The sequence below is a fragment of the Homo sapiens genome, chromosome 9 (genome assembly GCF_000001405.40).
Source record: "Homo sapiens chromosome 9, GRCh38.p14 Primary Assembly".
In the NCBI taxonomy this organism is placed as follows: domain Eukaryota; kingdom Metazoa; phylum Chordata; class Mammalia; order Primates; family Hominidae; genus Homo; species Homo sapiens.
The window spans coordinates 78,417,630-78,432,942 of NC_000009.12; the positions used below are offsets into that span (position 1 = coordinate 78,417,630).

A 15,313-nucleotide genomic window follows, 5' to 3' on the forward strand; every position below is an offset into this window, starting at 1 on the left:
ACTCTGCTATAAAGGGCACTAATCCCATCATGGGGACCCTACCATCATGGGGACCCTACCCTCATGACCTCTTCTAAACCTGATTAACTCCAAAAGTCCCCATCTCCAAAATACCACCATGAATTTTGGAGGGATACAATTCAGTTTGTAGCACTGAACTTTCCAGAGATCTTTTCCCCAAACTATCAAACAAAAGCTCTGCTTTCATGTTGACTGGACTAACTGAAACCAGTCATCGTAGCCAGGGATTGCCATGAACTGATTAACAGCGTTTTTGCCCACAGCTAACAGAATCACTATAGCAAGGGGTTAGGGGTTGGGGGATGGGGGATGAGCTGATGCAATTTGGCTTATATTGGGGCTGGGGGAAATTCTTCCCAAGCAATATTCCTTGCTAAACAGTGGGGGAGTGATGGGAAGAAAGTTATCTACAGTGTCCACTATTTTTAAGTTACCTGTTGCCATATCATTAGATTTTCAGCTTCTTTTCAGTGTTTGAGGAACCGAACTGAACTTCAACTAAACTGAATTTCAAATTTTCTCATGAAAGTGCATTAATGTTGGGGTCTCAGAATTTTTGTCTGACATGCTCAGCAGTGAGTGCTGCTTAATGGACAAAAGCTTACTACCAAAGCTAAATGTTCTAGAGAATCGATATTACTACAACTGTGGAGCCCTTGTTTCCATACAAGTCTCTTCATAAAGTAATTCATGAATTTTAAGCTGCTTTTTCCAGTCCACATTGTTCTAGAGAATGATAGAACAGGTTAGTAGGTCACTGCCAAAGTTCAAGTCTGTAACCTTTTGTCTCCTTCTAGAAGCAGTGGAACTTATTCATTTATGAGTTCTTAAATAATTACGTCATTAGGGGTGGGTTTGTCACAATTAAGATTGATATTTGCTTGTGTTGAGGAAACTGGATTTTAATCCCAAAATTTCTGTTTTTGTCCTTCCATTTTCAATATTCCATTATTTCACATAATTATCCAAACAATGTATTTAAACTGAACCCTTTCTATGTGATCAATATTATGCTAGGTATGCTGGGGAATAAAACTGATGTAGGAGAGATGGCTCTAAGAAGTACTCTGAACCGGGTGTGGTAGCTGAAGCCTGTAATCCCAGCATTTTGGGAGGCTGAGGCAGCTGGATCACCTGAGGTCAGGAGTTTGAGACCAGCCTGGTCAACATGGGGAAACCCTGTCTCTACTAAAAATACAAAAATTAGGCATGGTGGCACGTGCCTGTCATCCCAGCTACTTGGGAGGCTAAGGCAGGAGAATTGCTTGAACCCAGGAGGCAGAGGTTGCAGTGAGCTGAAATCATGCCACTGCACTCCAGCCTGGGCAACAGAGTGAGACTGTCTCAAAAAAGAAAAAAAAAGAAAAAAAAGAAATATTCTCTTGATGGAGGAATGAGACTAATCACATAGGATGGGTTTGTTTTGTAAGCATTTCTAAGTGTGTCATAGAAGAAGATTGGAGCAATGGAAATTGAGAGGAAGAAAGACCCCAGTGTGTTGAACTTTCTTGGGGGCTCTTTGGTGGAGGTGGTACTTAAATTGGGCTCTAATGGATATGTAAGATCTGTATAGGAAGAGGAGTTGGGGGAAGAGCATTTGCAAAAGCGTGGGAATAAACGCTGGTGTGGTCAGTTGGGGAATCCCTGAATGATCAAATCAGAGTGACAATCGTGCATGGGAGAGAAGTGGCAAAGGAGGATGGATGGGATTTTGTTCTCTACTGGATTTTCTCCAACCTCCCATATTTATCTTTTTTCTTTTATTATACTTTAAGTTTTAGGGTGCATGTGCCCAACGTGCAGGTTAGTTACATGTGTATACATGTGCCATGTTGGTGTGCTGCACCCATTAACTCGTCATTTAACATTAGGTATATCTCCTAATGCTATCCCTCCCCACCCCACCCCACAACAGGCCCCGGTGTGTGATGTTCCCCTTCCTGTGTCCATGTGTTCTCATTGTTCAATTCCCACCTATGAGTGAAAACATGTGGTGTTTCGTTTTTTGTCCTTGCGATAGTTTGCTGAGAATGATGGTTTCCAGCTTCATCCATGTCCCTACAAAGGACATGAACTCATCATTTTTTATGGCTGCATAGTATTCCATGGTGTATATGTGCCACATTTTCTTAATCCAGTCAATCATTGTTGGACATTTGGCTTGGTTCCAAGTCTTTGTTATTGTGAATAGTGCCACAATAAACATACGTGTGCATGTGTCTTTATAGCAGCATGATTTATAATCCTTTGGGTACATACCCAGTAATGTGATTGCTGGGTCAAATGGTATTTCTAGTTCAAGATCCCTGAGGAATTGCCACACTGACTTTCACAATGGTTGAACTAGTTTACAGTCCCACCAACAGTGTAAAAGTGTTCCTATTTCTCCACATCCTCTCCAGCACCTGTTATTTATCTTTTTTTTTGTTTGTGTTTTCAATTACTAAAAAGAGGTAACAATATGTGAGACATCAAGAAGTTTGGAATTATTTTAGAGTGTTTGCACACAATGGACATAGCCTTCTGTAACTGTCTCATCAGTGACAGCCCACTTTGAGTTTTTGTTTGTTTATTCCTTAGGGCATTTATGTATGTGGTTAGAGGCACAGCTAACCCCTTTCTTTTCTAGTGGAAGGCTTTGTCCTTTGCTGAAGTTCAGCCCCAAGTCTGACTAAAAAAGCATGAAAACTATAGGCCAGAAAGAGAAGGCAATTAAAACCAGGAATGAAAATACAGGAGGGGAAGGTGAGTGGATTCTGAAACTGTGACAAGTTAAGGAATTAAAACACAATTCCGTAAATTCTAAAGCAGACTCATAGTTTTGTGTCAAAATAGATCTTTTCATGGTCAGTATTCAGGAGGAGTTAAACTTTGAAAATATTAAGACCTGGTATATTGATTTGATTCTTCCAATTGAATTTCCTTAAAGCATAATAAAGTATTATATACATAAGTATGTATATGTGTAGATATTTTCTAACATTGTTAGGAAATGTGAATATTTACTGAAGAATCATCTTCATGCTTACTGATTGAAATTTTAGATTTAGATATATGTTTCTATTAACTTCTGGGGCTATATATTTATAATCACATCTTGAAAGAATTTCTTTTTCTTTTTCTTTTTTTTTAAGACAGAGTCTCACTCTGTTGCCCAGGCTGGAGTGCAGTGGCGCGATCTCAGCTCACTGCAACCTCCGCCTCCTGAGTTCAAGTGATTCTTCTGCCTCAGCCTCCCAGGTAGCTGGGATTAGAGGCGTGTGTCACCATGCCTGGCTAATTTTGGTATCTTTAGTAAAGACAGGATTTCACCATGTTGGTTAGGGTGGTCTTGAACTTCTGACCTCAAGTGATCCATCCACCTCAGCCTCCCGAAGTGCTGGGAGTACAGGTATGAGCCACTGCTCCTGGCCAGCTTGAAAGAATTTCTTAAAAGTGGCAACACATGTGTTGACATATTCAGGCATGTCATGATCACTCTGTTTCAATATTATTGCTATGGGTTCTTTAATTTACCATCAGATGGGACAGTAAGTCAGGTTACATTCTAAACAAAAAATAAAAATTTTCTGAAATTTCTATCGAAGTTCTATAAAGATTTGCATTTGGATAGTCATTGGAAGTGAAATATTTTGTGGGGAAAAGTGGCTCATTCTCACACCTGATAAAATAGGTAATGGTTCTTAGCCGTTTTTTTTTTTTTTGAATCAAAGTCTCATTCTGTCACCCAGGCTGGAGTGCAGTGGCATGATTTCAGCTCACTGCAACCTCCACCTCCAGGGCTCAAGCCATCCCTCAGCCTCCAGAGCAGCTGGGACTACAGATGCACACCAACATGCCTGGCTAATTTGCATATTTTTGTAGAGATGGGGTTTTGCCATGTTGCCCAGGTTGGTCTTGAACTCCTGGCCTCAAGTGATCCACCTGCCTTGGCCTCCCAAAGTGCTGGGATTACAGGCATGAACTGCTGTTCTTAGCATTTATAATAGGCAAAGTTTTCCATATTCCTTGTAATTGTGATATTCTCCATTTACATAGATGTAATTCAGTTAAGAGAACTGCTAGTTTATGCATTTGTGTGTGTGTGTGCATGTGTGTGTGTGTGTGTGTGTGTGTGTGTGTGTGTGTATGTATTTTTTAACCCCGGAGATACTTCTCCTTGTATAGTTAAATTGTTGAATGTTATTTTGGGAGATGATGCCTTAGGTCTTTTCTCGAAGGTGACTTCTTTTCCTTCTAATCCTCAAATTTTTCTCTCAACTCCAGTCCTTAAGATTCTCTTGTTTTCTCTCTTCTCTCCTTCTCCTGATTCAGCTTTATATTATATAGATCAGCTTTGGCTTCTTTATTTTTTTCTCTTATGTATTCCACAGTAGCAATATGGTGGTTCTGATGCAAGTTTTGATGTCAAGCCTTGGTTTTAATTCTGCTTCCATCATTTAGTTGCTGTGTGATCTTGGACGAGTTACTGAACCTTGCTGTGTTTCTTCATCAATGAAGTGGAATCATCATGGACTCCATCTCATCAGATTGTTTTGAAGAGTAAGTGAGATAATGGACACACAGTGCCCAGCACAGAGCCTGACCTAGAGTATGCCCTTGCGTGAGTCAAGGTAGGCTAGTTGTGTCGTTATGACAATCAATGCAGGGTTTAAGTATCTTTAAAACATAAACATTTATTTATTTATTTTTACCTAATGTTGGCCGTCAGTCTGGGAGATTCCTCCAAGGAGTGGCTCAATGATAAAGGCTGCTTCGACCTCATGGCACCCCGTCTCAATACATACATCTGTGGTTGTGATGTAGGTGGGACAGATGGAGGGTCTCACTGATAGTGAGTGCTTTGGCCTGGAAACGACTCACATCACTGCCACTCACAGCCAATTGGCCAGAAATAGTCATATGATCCCAAAGCAAAAAAAAAAAAAAAAAAAAAAACCTCAAAAAAAAAAAAGCAACACAGAACTATAATCTTTCCAGGTGCCCAGAACTGGGTGAGCCCAGCGTTCCATGTAGCTGAACTACACAGCACTCTATGCAGCCATATATCAGGAAAGTGCCCTCCAAGAAGTTGGCTGATGTGGAAGCCACACAAGTTTGGTGAAGTCCTCAGTCCCCTAAAAATACTTTACATTTTTAATTAGTCTTCAGAATTCTAGTATTCCTTATGTCCTGGACAGTTTAAAATAATGTCCCTAATTTACAGGAAAGCTACCATTTCCTAGAAAATGCGTAAGGCTATTCCTAGGATTTTGAGAGATTTGGTGCTGGTAATGAGGATGGGGATGTGACAATTATTTTTCTAAATTCCATCTAAGGTGGTTCATGTAGATCTGGTATTTTGATCTTTCCCTGATGCTATTTTTTCCATAGGGTGGATTGGTGTCCCTGTGGATGGGGAGTGAGGCTAGGAAAGGCAGCTCAGCGCATCTTTGGGCCTGTGAGCTGTGAGAAGTTCCTGCTCCCTGACAGTTGAATCAATTCTCTGTCACGTAAAAACTAATAAAGAAAGAATGACAAAGCAGCTTATGGAAATGGAGCCACACTTCATGTTCCAACAGGGTTAGTACCAGCTGTTAGCCATGCATCACTTCTGGGCCCTTCCCAGTGACCTTCATTTATTAGGTGTCACTAATATTCCTCTTCATCAGGGAACAAGTAGACTCCTTCTGGTGTGAAAGCAAAGGGAACGGCAGATCTTTGAAATGTTGAGCCTGTTTGGTGCCTAGTGGAGAAGCCTCTTTGGCCATGCTGATTTTGGAGGAAGGGTATAAAGACTGTGAATATTCCTTACCAGCTAAGGGGAATGCAAGATGGAACAGGGAGTGTTGCAATGGAATTGTAATGGAAACTGAGATACCTTGATTTTCATATCAACTCCTATAATAACTTACGTGAGAATTTGGACAGACCACTTTATTTCATTAGATTTTTTTTCATTAAAAAAGAATCAATGTTATTCTGCCTAATTTGGAGGGTTAATAGGAAAAGCAATTTATGTGGGAAGTATGCAGGCCCTTAAAAAGCATGAAGGTCATGGAAATGGATATTTTTCTCTTTACAAAGTAATACAATTTGTTATACAATTTTGGAAAATATAAACACAAGTAAAAGTTTAACGTGAAAATCATGAAAACCAAACAAAATGCCACCACATAGAGGTAACTGCTATTAACAAATGAGTGTATAGCCTTCTAAGAGTTTTTTTAAAAAAAATACATAATAATTGTATATATTTATGGGGTACATGTGATATGGTGATACATGTATACAGTGTGATCATATTAAGGTATTTAGGATATCGATCACCGCAAACATTTATCATTTCTTTGTGTTGGGAACATTTCAAGTCTTCTAGTTATTTATTTATTTATTAATTTTTGAGACGGTCTTGCTCTGTCGCCCAGGCTGGAGTGTAATGGTGTGATCTCAGCTCACTGCAACCTCCGCCTCATGAGTTCAAATGATTCTCCTGCCTCAGCCTCCTGCGTAGCTGGGACTACAGGTGTGCGCCACCATGCCCAGCTAATTTTTGTATTTTTAGTAGAGACAGGGTTTCACTATGTTGTCCAGGCTTGTCTCAAACTCCTGACTTCAGGTAATCCTCCCTCCTTGGCCTCCCAAAGTGCTGGGATTACAGGCACGAGCCGCTGTGCCCAGCCTCTTCTAGTTATTTTGAAATATACGATAAATTATTCCCTATAGTCACACTACTGTGCTATTGAAAACTAAAACTTATTCCTTCTATCGAACTGTGTAGTTGTAGTCATTCACCAACCTCTCTTCATCCCTGCCCCTACCCTTCCCAGCCTCTGGTAACTATCATTGTAATCTCTACCTCCATTAGGCCTACTCTTTTAGCTCCCAAATGTGAGTGAGAACATGTGATATCTATCTTTTTCTGCCTGGCTTATTTCACTTAACATAATGACCTCCAGTTCCATCCTTGTTGCTGCAAATGACAGGATCCATTTGCCTTAGCCTTCTAGTATGAATTCTGCCTGACTAGTATTTCATTGTTTATATATGCTACAATTTCTTTATCCATTTATCCATTGATGGACACTGAGACGGAGTTGATAGCTTGGCTGTTGTAAATAGTACTGCAATAAACACGGGAGTGCAGGAATCCCTTTGATATACTGATTTCTTTTCCTTTGTATAAATGCCAAGAAATGGGATAGCCTCTATATAATTTTCTATAATAGATGTACTAATTTACATTCCCCCCAACAATGTGTAAGAGTTTCCTTTTCTCTGCATCCTCACCAGAGTTTTTTTTTTTTTTTTTAAGGAGACAGGGTCTCACTATGTTACCTAGGCTGGTTTCAAACTCGTGGGCTCAAGTGATCCATTTGTCTTAGCCTCAACCAGCATTTTTTATTGTCTTTTTGATAATAGCCATTCTAACTGGGGTGAAATGATATCTCATTGTGGTTTTGATGTGCATTTCTCTGATTCCTGATGGTTTTTTCATATACCTATTGGTCATTTTTTTTTCTTTTTGCTTTTTTTTTGAGATGGTCTGTCACCCAGGTTAGAGTCTTTTTGCTTTCTTTTTTTTGCTTTTGCTTTCTTTTTGCTTTTTTTTTGAGATGGTCTGTCACCCAGGCTAGAGTGCAATGGTGAAATCTTGGCTCGCTGCAACCTCCACCTCCTGGGCTCAAACCATCCTCCCATCTCAGCCTCCTGGGTAGCTGGGAGTACAGGTGCATGCCATCACACCCGGCTAATTTTTGTATTTTTTGTGGAGACAGGTTTTGCCATGTTACCCAGGCAGGCTGGTCTCGGACTCCTGGCCTCAAGTGATCCTCCCACCTTGGCCTCTCAAAGTGCTAGGATTACAGGCATTAGCCACTGAACCTGGCCATTTCTGTGTTTTCTTTTGAGAAATGTCTATTCAGATTCTTTGACTACTTTTAAATGGGATTATTTATGCTTTTTTTTTTCTGTTGAGTTGTTTCAGTTTCCTCCATATTCATGGCATTAGTCCCTTGTGGGATAAACAGTTTGCAAATATTCATTCCCATTCTACAGGTTGTCTCTTTACCCTGTTAGTTGTCTCCTTTGCTGTGCAGAAGCTTCTTAGTTTAATATAGTCCCATTTGTCTATTTTTGTTTTTGTTGCCTGTGCTTTTTTGAGGTCTTAGCCGTAGTATCTCTGCCTAGACCAATGTCCTGGAGTGTTTCCCCTGTGTTTTTTCTAGTAGTTTTATAGTTTTGAGTCTTACATTTAAGTCTTTTGAGTTGATTTTTATATATGGTGAGAGATAGATGTCTAGTTTTATTCTTGTGCAAATGAATATGCTGTATTCCCAGCACCATTTATTGAAGAAGGTATCCTTTTCCCAGTGTATATTCTTCCTGCCTTTGTCCAAAAGGCTGTAAATATGTGGATTTATTTCTGAATTCTCTATTTTGTTTCATTGATCTGTGTATCTGTTTTATACCGATATTATGCTATTTTGGTTATTATAGCTCTGTAGTATATTTTGAAGTCAGGTAGTGTGATTCCTCCAGCTTTGTTCTTTTTGCTTAATATTGCTTTGGCTTTGCAGGGTCTTTTGTGGTTCCAAATAAGTTTTATGATTGGATTTTCTATTTCTGTGAAGAATCTAATTGGTATTTTGATAAGGATTGCCATTGAATCTGTCAACTGCTTTGAGTATGGTCATTTTAATAATATTAATTCTTCTAATTCATGAGCATGGGCTGCCTTTCCATTTGTTTGTGTTCACTTTCTTTCATTGGTGTTTTGTAATTTTCATTGTAGAGGTCTTTCACCTTAGCTAAATTTATTCCTAGGCATTTTGTTTTTCTTATAGTTATTATCTGATTGCTTTCTTTATTTCTTTTCCAGCTAGTTGATAATTGGTGTATAGAAACACTACTAAATTTTGTATGCTGATATTGTATCCTGAAATTTTACTGAATTAGCTTATCAGATCTAAGAGTTTTTCAGTGCAGTCTTTAGGTTTTTCTATATATAAGCTCATATATCATCAGCAAACAGGAACAATTTGACTTTTTTTTTTCCAATTTGGATGTCTTTTATTTCTTTTGCCTGATTGCTCTGGCTGGGACTTCCAGTACTATTTGGAATACGAGTGGTGAAAACTAGGCATCCTTGTCTTATTCCAGTCCTTACAGGAAAGGCATTCAGCTTTTCCCCATTCGGTATGATACTAGCTATAGGTTTGTCATATTTGATCTGTATTATGTTGAAGTATGTTCCTTCTATACCTAATCTGTTGAGAATTTCTTATGAAATGATGTTGAGTTTTATCAAATGTTTTATCTACATCTATTGAGATGATCATATGGTTTTTGTCCCTTATTGAATTGATGTGATGTATCACATTTGTTGATTTGCTTATGTTGGCGCATTGTTGTATACCTGGATATATCTCACTTGATCATGGTATATTATCTTTTTGATGTGTTGCTGGATTTAGTTTTTTAGTATTTTGTTGAGGATTTTTGCATATATGTTCATCAGGGATATTGGCCTGTAGTTTTCTTTTTCTGTATGTAGTGTCTTTGGTTTTGGTATCAGGATAATTCTGGCCTCATAGATTGAGTTAGGAAGAATTCATTCCTTGCAACTTTTTGGAGTAGTTTGTGAAAAATTGGTATTAGCTTTTTTCTATAAGCTTGGTAGAATTCAGCAAAGCCATCTGGTCCTGGGCTTTTCTTTGTTGGGAGACTTTATTCAGTCTCATTACCTGTTATTGGTCGATTCAGGCTTTCTATTTCTTTTGGTTCAATCTTAGTTAGGTTGTATGTGTCCAGGAATTTATCTTTGTCCTGTAGGTTTTCCAATTTGTTAGAATATAGTTGTTCATAATAGTCTCTGTTGATCCTTTGTATTTCTGTGATGTCAGTTGTTATGCCTCCTTTTTCATTTCCAATTTTATTTATTTAGGTCTTCCCCCCCTTTTTTTTGATTAGTCTAGCTAGAGTTTATCAATTTTGATTGTGTTTTCAAAAAACAACTTGCCATTTCATTGACTCTTATTTTTTATTAGCCTCTATATTTTGTTTAGTTCTGCTCAGGTCTTTATTTCTATCTTCTACTATTTTTTCGGTTTAGTTTGTTTTTGCTTTCTATTTCCTTGAGGTACACAATTAGGTTGATTATTTAAAATCTTCTTTCTGATGTAGATATTTATTGCTATAATCTTCCCTCTTAGCACTGCTTTTGCTGCATTTCATAAGTTTAGGTATGTTGTGTTTCTATTTTCATTTGTTTCAATAATTTTTAAATTTCCTTCTTAATTTCTTCATTGACTTAGTGGTCATTCAGGAACATGCTGTTTAATTTCCATATATTTGTATAGTTTCCAAAGTTCCTCTCGTTATTGATTTCTAGTTTTTTTTTTTTTTTTTTGAGATGCAGTTTCACTCTTTGTTGCCCAGACTGGAGTGCAGTGGCATGATCTTGGCTCACTTCAACCTCCGCCTCCTGGGTTCAAGTGATTCTCCTGTCTCAGCCTCCTGAGTAGCTGGGATTACAGGTGCACACCACCATGCCCGGCTAATTTTTGTATTTTTAGTAGAGATGGAGTTTTACTATGTTCGCCAGGCTGGTCTTGAACTCCTGACCTCAAGTGATCCACCTGCTTCGGGCTCCCAAAGTGCTGGGATTACAGGCGTAAGTCACCATGCCCGGCCTGATTTCTAGTTTTATTTATACTGAGAAGACCTTTGATATGATTTTAATTTAAAAAAATTTGTTGATACTTGTTTTGTGGCTTAACGTACAGTCTATCCTGGAGAATGCTCCATCTGCTGATGAGAAGAATGTGCATTCTACAGCTGTTGAAATGTTCTATAAATGTCTGTTAGGTGTATTTGGTGTGTAGTGTAGATTAAAGCCAATGTTTCTTTGTTGATTTTCTGTCTAGATTATTTGTCCAACGCTGAAAGTGGGATGTTGAACTTTTCAACTTTATTGTCATGTGGTCTGTCTCTTTATCTCTAATAACATTTGCCTTATATATCTGGTACTCTGGTGTTAGGTACATATATTTATAATTGTTTATATTCTCGCTGAATTGATAACTTTATCATTATGTAATCACCTTCTTTGTCTCTTTTTATGTTTTTTGACTTAGTCTATTTAGTTTGATAGAAATATAGCTACTCTTGAATGCTTTTGGTTTCTGTTTGCATGGAATACTTTTTTCCATTCTTTCACTTTCAGTCTACGTGTCTTTACAGGTGAAGTAAGTTTCTAGTAGGCAGTATATAATTGAGTCTTTTTTTTTTTAAATCCATTCAGTTAGTATATATCTTTTCAATTGGTGAATTTAATTATTTTACAGTCAAGGTTGTTATTGATAGGGGTGAAGACTTATTCCTATTATTTTGTTCATTGTTTTCTTGTGTTTTGATAGTCTTTGTTCCTCTCTTCCTCTTTTATCATTTACATTTACAATTTGGTTGATTTTTTTTGTAGTGATAAAGTTTGACTCTTTCCTTTTTCTTGTTCATGTATCTGCTCTACCAGTGAATTTTATTCTTTTGTGTGTTTTTATGATGGTAAATATTGCCTTTTTATTTCCAGATGTAGGACTCTTCAGCATTTCTTGTAGGTCCATTCTAGTGGTAATGAATTCCCTCAGTTTTTGCTTGTCTAGGAAAGACTTTATTTCTCCTTCATTTTTGAAGGATAGCCTTGCTGGGTGTACTATTTTTGGTTGACAGTTGTTTTCTTTCAGCACATTGACTATATTATCCCATTTTCTCATGGCCTGTAAGGTTTCTGTTGAGAAATCTGCTGTTAGTCTGATGGAGATTCCTTTAATGTCACTTGACACTTTACTCTTTCTGTTTTTAGGATTCTCTTTAACTTTTGACGGTTTGACTATAATGTGCCTTGTAGAAGATCTTTTTGGGATTAATCTATTTGGGGATCTGCGAGTGTTTTTGAATCTAGATGTCTATATCTCTTGCAAGACTTGACAAGTTTTCAGATATTATTTTATTAAATAGATTTTTTATGTCTTTTCTCACTTCTCCTTCTGGAATCCTAAAGTTCACGTATTTGATGCTTTATGGTATCCCATATGATCCCCTTGAATTCTCTTTTACCTTTCTTTTTTGTGCATGTTCCCACTGGCTTGGTTGGGCTTTTACTGACAGTGGTAGGTACCTGGGGCTCCTTTTAGAAAAACTGTACTTGGGCTACTGGAATTTGCCCGAACACCCAGGAGACTAAAGTGCCTAGAAATCATTCTGGTGCAGCCCTTGGCCTAAGACAGGCAGAGAAAGGAATAAGGAAGCCCAGCTCTCTTGCTCTAACTATGAGGCATAACTAACACTTGAGTGTCCCCCTGAGAGCAAGAATAAGGATGAAGCTCCCTCTGTGTGACCTGCCTGGCATGCACCCTTGCTTGGCTTCCCCCTTTTCTGTCCTGCTTCCTCCAGTCACTTGCCAGCCTCCTGGAGAAGCATGTATTTAATAAACCACATGTACACAGTATGGACTGAATGTTTGTTTCCCCCGCAAAATTCCTATGTTGAAAGCCAATTGTCAGTGTGATGGTATTTGGAAGTGGGGCCTTTGAGAGGTGATGAGATTTGAGCCATTGTGATGGGATTAGTGCCCTTATAAGAAGAGGCCAAGGAGCCCTCTTCCCCCCTTTTACCAGGTGAGGATGCAATGTTAAAATGGCAATCTGGAACCTAGAAGAGGGCCCTCACCAGAACCTGACCATGTAGGCACAGGTGGGCGCACTGATACGGGACTTTCAGACCTATGAGAAATAAATTTCTATTGTTTATAAGCCACCCAGTTTATGGTACTTTGTTCTAGCAGCCTGATCTGACTAAGGCAGTATACAAATGCTTATCTCAGTGTCTGCTCCTGGAAAGTGTAATTGAAGCCAGTTTGTGAACACCATTCAGATTTCTGATTGGATTATCTTTTAGTTTAAGTGATGAAGAGCTACAATAATGGCTAGGTAGTTGGGACATTTCAATGGTCTGGCTAATATCATTGGATCTCAGGCACCTCAGTAATGAGATTACAGAGAAAGGGCCTTTAGTGCTTCTGATGGTGGTTTGCTGAATGCACTTCTGTGCAATTTTGAAACTGGCTTTGGGTTGCTGAATGAACGTTGCATGGTCTATTTTTTTTCTGAAGTCCAAATCCACCTCATTTAATTTCATCCCAATTCTTCTAGTTATAGTCCCTTGCAGAATCCTAAAAACTCTTTATACTTGGTACAACAATTCTCATATAATAAAAAGAACAGACTGTTCTTGCATAGGAATATGCATGGGTCACCCTGCAGGAGGGAGGGGAGAGAGGATAATGGCATATTAAGCTCTGCAACTGAGAGGTGAAGCCAGCTGGGCTTCTGGGTCCGGTGGGGACTTGAAGAACTTTTCTGTCTGGCTAAAGGATTGTAAACGCACCAATCAGTGCTCTGTGTCTAGCTAAAGGTTTGTAAACACGCCAATCAGCACTCTGTAAAAACGCACCAATCAGCACTCTGTGTCTAGCTAAAGGTTTGTAAACACACCAATCAGCACTCTGTAAAAACGCACCAATCAGCATTCTGTGTCTAGCTAAAGGTTTGTAAATGCACCAATTAGCACTCTGTGCCTAGCTAAAATTGTAAGTGGACGAATCAGCACTCTGTAAAATGGACCAATCAGCACTCTGTAAAATGGACCAATCAGCAGGACATGGGCGGGGCCAAATAAGGGAATAAAAGCTGGCCACCCCAGCCAGCAGGGGCAACCTGCTGGGGTCCCCTTCCACATTGTGGAAGCTTAGTTCTTTCACTCTTCACAATAAATTTTGCTGCTGCTCACTCTTTGGGTCCACACTATCTTAATGAGCTGTAACACTCACCACGAGGGTCTGCGGCTTCATTCTTGAAGTCAGTCAGACCACGAACCCACTAGAAGGAAGAAACAACTCCGGATGCACCACCTTTAAGAGCTGTAACACTCACTGCGAAGGTCTGCGGCTTCACTCCTGAAGTCAATGAGATCACAAACCCACTGGAAGGAAGAAACTCTGGACACATCTGAACATCGGAGGGAACAAACTCCGGACACACCATCTTTAAGAACTGTAACACTCACTGTGAGGGTCCGTGGCTTCATGCTTGAAGTCAGTAAGACCAAGAACCCACCGGAAGGAACCAATTCCAGACACACAAGGAGGCTGCTCTGTTCTGGGAGGCACTTCTATCCCTCCATGCCTTTGGGTTGGTAATATTAAAATTTTCTTTGATTTTTCTTTATCTTTCATAAATATTTTGCATTTGGCTTTCCAGAGTCATTCTCATTTGTTCTTTGTCTTGCTTTTCCATCATGACTACCTTAGTTCAAGCTTTTACCATGTGTTCTACACTTAAATGTGCCCTCTCCTCATCTCAAATTCATATGTTGAAGTCCTAACCCCCAATGTCACTGTATTTGGAAATAGAGCCTGTATTTGGGGTAATAAATGTTCAATGAGGTCATAAAAGTGGGACCCTCATTCTATAAAACTGATGTGCTTATAAGAAGAGGAAGAGACACCAGTGAACTCTCTGTGATCTTTCACAATCACATTTCCAACTTTCACATTGCCGTTTGAGGATGCAGCAAAAAGGTGGCAGTTTGTTGGCCAAAAGGAGAGGCCTCAGAAGAAACCAACCCTGTTGGGACATTTATCTTGAACTTTGAGCATCCAGGCTATGAGAAAATACATTTCTATTGTTTAAACCGTCCAGTCTCTAGTATTGTATTGTGGCAGCTCAGTAGATTAAGACACCATCATACATTGGGTTATCCCCTCCTCCTAGTAGTCCCTTAATTAGTATGCTTGTCTCTAATTTATTCTGTTTCAATTAATTTCTTAAGGCATCACATCTTACTTTGCAATGAAATAAACTCTTCTGTAGTATATTACTGCCTCAGAATAAAGCTTAAATGCCAGAGCCAGACATTCAAGATCCCTGTAATTCCCCCACCCAAGCCTCCTTTAAAACATTTTCTCTTTCTACTTCTTGATTCAAACTCCATGCTTCACACTCTGCCCTGTCCCCCAAATATAATAGGCCCAGCTGGAATATTCTCATTTCCTTGCAGACTATCCAAATCCCACCTGTTCTTTAGGTTCATCCTAAGTCTCACTTCACCCATGAAGCCCCTCTCATCTTTCTGGTCACCTTCTAAGATGCTCTTGCACTTTTTTGTCTTTACTACTGGTATTTACACTTAATCAGTGTTTGGATTTAAGTGTTTCATGTATCTTCCTAGTTAGACACAGAGACTGTACTGCTTT

General features: G+C 39.0%; 1 long non-coding RNA gene across 2 annotated transcripts in view; it reads left to right on the top strand.

Moving 5' to 3' along the window:
- LOC107987083 (uncharacterized) overlaps positions 1-15,313 on the top strand; it is a 122,361-nt gene that overhangs the window by 60,025 nt on the left and 47,023 nt on the right. Inside the window, exons 2-3 of one of the 2 annotated variants that reach the window (XR_001746760.2) lie at positions 4,465-4,563; positions 5,395-5,545. This is a non-coding gene — a long non-coding RNA (uncharacterized LOC107987083). Of the gene's footprint in view, positions 1-4,464; positions 4,564-5,394; positions 5,546-15,313 lie in introns of those variants that run through there. The other variant, XR_001746759.2, reaches the window with a different exon arrangement.